We start from the raw sequence: 6,997 nt of genomic DNA on the forward strand, positions 1-6,997 counted from the left end.
GATATCTACCTCCAAATGAAATTTGTTGTTTTCATGGAAAGCGGTTATCTATTGCTCAGTGAATGGAGTCTGTACAGAGCAAAGCTTAAAGAGCCTTTGACCAGTGGCTGAACTAATGTTGAAAATTAAACTACTACAGTCTTATTGATTAGGATATATCTGTTACAAATATTATTTTACATCATGAATCTAGCATGGCAGTAAACATTTTTGAATTAAAATTATAAATATATATGTATATAATATCAGAAAACAACTTGCTTTATATCATATAATACATTCACAACTATTAGTGTCTTCTATTTTTCTTTAACCCTTTAAAAACCATAGAGGTAAGAGCTACTTGAGACTATACTTATAAAAATGTCCTTTAATGATTTGTTAAATAAACTCTTCAAAATGTGCCCTATTCTGACCCTTAATTATATCCACATTTTTATTTTATTTTTGCAGTATCAATTTTTTAAGTGACTGATTACCACATTACATTTACTCCTTGGGCTTTATTTGGGCACTTTAGACAAAAACACAATTTTTTCATAATATCAGAGAAATGTACCAGGAGATTAACCATATTGTTTCCATGTTGAAGTCACCACATTGTACTGTCACTGGCAAAAGATAGTGCTCTGCTTTTATTCTAACGGGCATTTGCTTGTTATTTTCCATAAATAAAATGCTGCCTAAACAAGGTATTTATATTTACTAGCAACCGTTTTTTCCCATAAATCACATGAGATTCATAATTGCAGTTTGCATTTATACCCTCAACTGAACATATTATTTGAGATACTACATCATTTTAACTATGTTATTTTCTGGATATGGAAAGTTTGATATCCAAGAGGTAAATTATTTAAGTCTAATTCTACAATAAGTCAGTTGCAATGATGGAGTGAGGCCTAAGAAAGTTATTCATTTGAGACCCATAATTATAACTTTGACAATTTTTCATAAATTTTTAAAAAGATTATTAGCAAAATAAAAATTGCTCACCTTTTTTGCTTACCATATTCCAAGAATGTGTCTAAATGCTATATTCTTACTAATTTAATCAACTCTCCCCTCACATTCTAATGAAGGAGTTGATATTACTAATCATATTTTTAAAAGAAAAAGAAGCAGCAAAGAATTAGTTTCCTAATCCAAGTTCATAAAATCTAAATGTATCATAGCTAGAATTTAGACCCACTGGCTCTTCTCCTTTAGAGCCAGAGGTCTCAAGGCCACACTGGCACAATTCTTGGAAGCTGAGCAATATACAACCTGCAAAGCTGTACATGAAGGTCCTGAGTGCTTTTAACCACTTCACTGTAATGCCTCTTGGGTGAAATTGGCTCACATATATTTTTCCAGAAGAAAATAAAGACATATCTGTGTATTTGTAACTATACAAATATATCAGTTAAGTTGTATTAATTTGTATGCAGCATTTAAAAACATCTTCACACAACTCAAAATCAATTAGCTCAATAACACTTTTTGAAACTCAATACAGCTGGAAATAATGACTAAAATACAATCATCTTTTTAAAATGGTTGTCTCTAATCACTTTAAAATAGAAAATACACACAGACTGGTACCTTCTGGATAACGATTTTCAGGATTTTGTGACCAGGTGCATGACCAGGTGTTGGTGTGGTCCTGGCTGCAAGCAGGACACATTATTAGCCAAGATTAATGTACTGAGTGATGCATTGCAGCTCTCAGATCAATGTGGACTGCTCCTGATATTCAATATATCTTGCAAAATGACTTCAAAGAAACAAAAAATATCCATGTGAGTGATAAAATACTCTTTTCGAGCCATATGCTTTAGTGTAATTTGAGCTAATGATCTATTAGAAAGAGAAAAATTGTTTCTAATAAAACAGTGTTATAAAATCTTGTTCCTTCTTACTAAACCTGTGACACTTTTCACTTTGCACCTATATGAAATTGTGTGGAAGAGAACATTGTTATTCCTAGATTAATTCTGCTGAACCACGAAAATCAGAAATTAATTTTATATTTTAAAAGGTCTTTTAAAATTTATGACAGCTTTTTAGTGTTCAATATCCTTAATAGGAAGTCTTAATTTTTGTTATCTAGACATTTGTTTTGTAGAAACAAGCATGTTTATGTAGTTCACTGTTATATCCTTAGCAATTAGAATAGCTCGAGTGACACATTGTAGGTTTTCAATAGAAATCTGTTGAATTAAGTTGATATCTTTAAAAAAAGTGAAAATTAAAATAAAAAAAACCTTAGTACTGTCCAGGCGCTGTGGCTCATGCCTGTAATCCCAGCACTTTGGGAGGCCGAGGGGGGCGGATTGCTTGAGGTCAGGAGTTCGAGTCCAGCCTGGCTAACATGGTGAAACCCTGTCTCTACTAAAAATACAAAAATTAGTCAGGCGTGGTGGTGCATGCCTATAATCCCAGCTACTCAAGAGGCTGAGGCAGGAGAATTGCTTGCCTGGGAGGCAGAGGTTGCAGTGAGCCAATGTCCTGCCACTGCATTCCATCCTGGGTGACAGAGTAAAACTCTGACTCAAAAACAAACAAACAAACAAAAACAGTACTATATCATAAATTTTCCAAAATCCTTAAAAATCCTTAGAAATTATAGTTTTTAATATCTTAATATGCATCTCTAGTCAGATACATCATAATTTTTTTACAATGTTCCACATTTTTGGACATTTAGTTTGTATTTTCTCTTAGCAGAAATTATACAACATAGAACATTCTTGTTCAATTACATGTGTTTCTCTCATTGATTTTTTTTTTAAATAAATTTGATAGGTGACATTGCTGGTTCAAAGTGCATAGCAGTTTTAATATAATGCCTATTGCATCCGAAGTATTTTATCAGTTTAAACACTTCTAAGGACATAAAACTGTCTAATTTCCCAACATTCCCTGTAACACTTAGTATTAAGATTTATTAAATGTTTTTTAATGTGATAAATAAAAGCACATTTCGTTGACATTCGAACAAGTACCTCAATATTATTGCTTAATTTTAAAGTGCCAGTGGGGATTGTTGATGACAGCAGAATAGGTCCCTGGGTCACATTCTTACCTCACTCGGAGTTTCCAAATTTTTATTTATGGTTATTCTAATAGGCCTGATTATACTAAACATAAGGCATATATTATATAAATTTGGCCTTCAGTTCACCCCCTCCCAAATCTCTAGCTGTTAAAGAATATCTTGTCTGTTGAGAGGTGGCATTTAAAGACACAAATAACTGTCATTTCTGTTATTATGTTTTCTATTTCCAAAGGGAAGACTATAAGATATAATATTTTAGATCATTAGATTGACAAACAAGTACTCTATATGGCCAGAAATGTTACTAATTTTTCAAAAGAAACAAAAAGAACAGCAAAAAATGAGCACTTGGATGCCAAGATATTTTTAGTCAACAATCATTGCTCTATAACTAAATATTTTGAAAAATATTTCACCTAGTAAGATTTTTATGATTTAAAAGAAGTAAAACATAATAATGTTGTAAATTGTATAGTCATAAACATTGTAATTTGACTGATGACCCTGCTTTGCATTTCTTTGCCTTTTTGACTGATCTTCCCTATGTTGGAGCAATCCCTCTCTCTATGAGTCTTGCCAAGGGACAGGGCTCAGTTTCCATTGCGGAAGCTGAAGCATCCATATGCTTTATTTTTTCTAACCTACTTCTATGATAGTGGGAAACAGGCATATGCCTAGGAATTCAATCTTGACCTTCCTACCCAGGACGAGAATCTCTCACAGGAGGGTAATGAGTCATAGTAAAGAATTCCTCTTGGTTGCATTGATGGTGTCAGCAGGAGTACTTCACTCCCAGTGTTGGCAGTGGCAATGACCTCAGACCTCACCATACTGTTACTGAGGCATAATTATGGCTTGGTTCTGATTGCCTAGCTCTGTAAGTCACAGGTCAGAAAACCAAGACTGTTTCTCCTGAAAATTTCTGGGCTGCTCTATGAGATACCTCATAGTCTTTGAGTAATTTCCTTTTAAACTTTAAATAGCCTGAATCGTTTTTTGTTGCAGCTGCTAATAACCCTGACTGAAACAGAATTTCTAATCTAAAATTAAAATAATTAATCACTGCAGATATAATAGATGATGGAAGGTGTGTGTCTCTGATGAGCACTTTCATCTAATACAAGGTTAATTGTCCAAAAAGAACTCTGGTAAGTAGGGTAGTGAAAATAGGGTATCATGCTAAAAAGATTAATTACCATGATAGTTGGAGGTCATAACTAAAATGACTAAGGATTGGTAGTATGGATAATAATAAAAATCATTTTGAAGCTTTGACAGCCATTATACTAACATTTATGTGTTTGTAGCAGGCTGGAGATGGAAATTATTACATCACCTTATTTCTACAAAATATATTTTTAGTTTTATATTTCACTAAGTTTACTGCTAGATTAATTGTCAGAATCTCTTATACTGATATTCGTACTGACAATACATTGCTATATGGTATATCAAAACTCTGTTCTGGACTGTTTAATATTTCTTCCTTTATCTAAAATGTGAACTGTGGCATTTTATCTGTTTGATTTTTGCCTGCATCTTGCGAAGGTATGTTTTGCGGCAGTTTGAGCAACAAATTTGGACCACCCCACTGTTGCAGAGAAGTTATTACTTTTAGTATCAGTTATTTTGATGAGATGACATGGATTTCCAAATATTCCTCCTCTCTGGTGAATAAACTAACAGGTAATAACTGAAAGAGATCCCTATATCAGGAATTCTCTGACAGAATTCCACAAAAGCAAAGATTTTCTTAGAGATTATTTTGCATCCTGTAAGAAAACCTGTGTTGCAAGTGATACATTATTTATAGCGGCCTTTCAGAAGATAAGAAAGATAAGTTTCCTCAGGTTTTTTGACTGATAAAGTCTTCAATTTGTCAAAGTATTCATTCACCCCTGCAGGGGAGGAATTCTTACTGATAAGCAGTAAGTTCTCATTATAACTGATCTTTATTTCTGTAATGAACTATATTTATGTGGTTACTATTTTTGAATTGAAGTTTCTTATAGATTATGTCCTACTAAATATATTTTTAAATTTAAAATGTAACAATAAATTAATATTTTTTACTTGTGTATGCTCTATCAGGAGCTATACCAAGTATTTAATATATTAAATTATTTATAAAAATCTGTGATACAAAATATTAAGGTCATAGAGATAGAAGAAAGTTGAAATTAAGGAAATTGTACAAGGTTTAAAATCGGTGTCCTAGCATTATATTATGTGGCTTTCCTCAAAGTAATCTGAAAATTTTAGGAGGTTATGGGGAAAGTTATGGTTGTACATTGTCAAAGGTCAGACATTGCAATAGACATATATGAACATGAGACACATGTCTTATGAACAAACCGCCAGCATTTATGGCTACAATCAACAACCATCCTGGACACCACTACCAAATGCTTCTTAAATATCACTTTAATTATATTTTTCTCATGTTCAAAAGTGTCCATTATCTGCTATATGAAGTTGTCTCCTAAGCCTTACATCTAAAGCTATTCATGTTTGATTTCAACCTACTTTTCATTACCCATCTACCATTATCTCAATATGTACCCTATATTCCAGCCAAAATACTTTGTCCTGTCTTAAAATGGCCTGTGTAACTTAGATTGGGTGATATTGCCATCCTTCATTTTCCCATTAATGATGATCTATTCTAAAATGTACAATAAAACCTTTTTGTTATCTTTCCAAATGGAATGGACCTCTTCTTCCCTGAAACTTCATACGATAGTTTTCGGAGGTGGCTTTCTCATGGTCAGTACTAAGCTTAGTTATTTATGTAGTTCATCATGCTAAGTTTTAAACTCATCTTTAATGTCTTGCATTTTCTCTGGGCCATAGCTTGAATAGCTTATGTGGCTATTTTCAAACTGATAACCAATAATTCAAGTTAGTTTTTGAACAGCAACAACAAAATGCAACTCCATTAAAGCCAAGGCCACAAGAACTTTCACAGCACTGTTATTAAAATATATATAATATATAATCATGTAATATTTACTGTGTCAAATATTAATTTTCAAGATTTTTTACATGTTTTTCTCATATATCAGGAAAGGAAGCTATAATCAACCAAAATATATCTTGGGAAAAAACAACAATGATTTTTCTTTGCTTTGTTACTCTCCACAACACACATAGTCTTTCCCCCTCTAAACTTCTGGAATCTCTTGCTCAAGCTCTAGATCACATCTTATTTTCTCCCCCTCCCCCTGTTTTCCTAATGTACAGAAACCATCTTGCAATAGCACAAACCTCATCAAAAATTGGAGAGGGAAAGAAATAGACAATATCAACTTAAAAGCTTCTCTAGAAGAAGAAGAGGCTAGCCTAGGAAGCTTCTTATATCAATAAATATGGTTCTGTCCAGTAAATACCGAGACACTCTTAGAACATTCAGTTGCCTTTTAAATACTTAACTAGGAAGAAAAAAGCTTTAGGAGCAAAAGGGTGATTAAAGATAGATTTTAAAATATATATAAAACGTATTAGCATTATGGTAACATAACAGCTCCTATTAGAACTTTATGATCTTTTGAAATGGATTTATAAGCTTTGAACATAAAAGCAGTGTTAATATATTTAAAAATTGCTAATTAGGATCATCAGAAGATGTTAAGGTCTGAATGTTTGTATCCATCCAAAATTCATGTACTGAAACCTGATAACCAATGTGATAGTATTGCGAGGTGGGGACTTTGGAAAGTGATTACATCATGAAAGTGGAACGCCCACGAATGGAATTAGTGCCCTTATAATAGAGGCTCTGAGGAAGCTTGTTTGTTCCTTTCACCAGGTAAGGACATAGCCAAAGATGCCATTTATGAATCAGGAAATGGGCCCTTGCAGGATACCAAACCTGCTGGCACCTTGATCTTGGTCTTCTCTAGACTCAAGAATTGTGAGAAGTAAATTTCTGTTGTTGAGGAGCTTCCCAGTCTATGA

General features: G+C 33.1%; 1 annotated feature.

The window, feature by feature from the left end:
- Window positions 3,543-4,044: an enhancer, noted in NCBI's record as "NANOG hESC enhancer chr7:13279910-13280411 (GRCh37/hg19 assembly coordinates)". NCBI's record gives its function as "activates a minimal SCP1, AML or CMV promoter by ChIP-STARR-seq in primed H9 embryonic stem cells {active_cell/tissue: H9 hESC(primed)}" and the evidence as "EXISTENCE:reporter gene assay evidence [ECO:0000049][PMID:30033119]".

The sequence above is a fragment of the Homo sapiens genome, chromosome 7 (assembly GCF_000001405.40).
Source record: "Homo sapiens chromosome 7, GRCh38.p14 Primary Assembly".
In the NCBI taxonomy this organism is placed as follows: domain Eukaryota; kingdom Metazoa; phylum Chordata; class Mammalia; order Primates; family Hominidae; genus Homo; species Homo sapiens.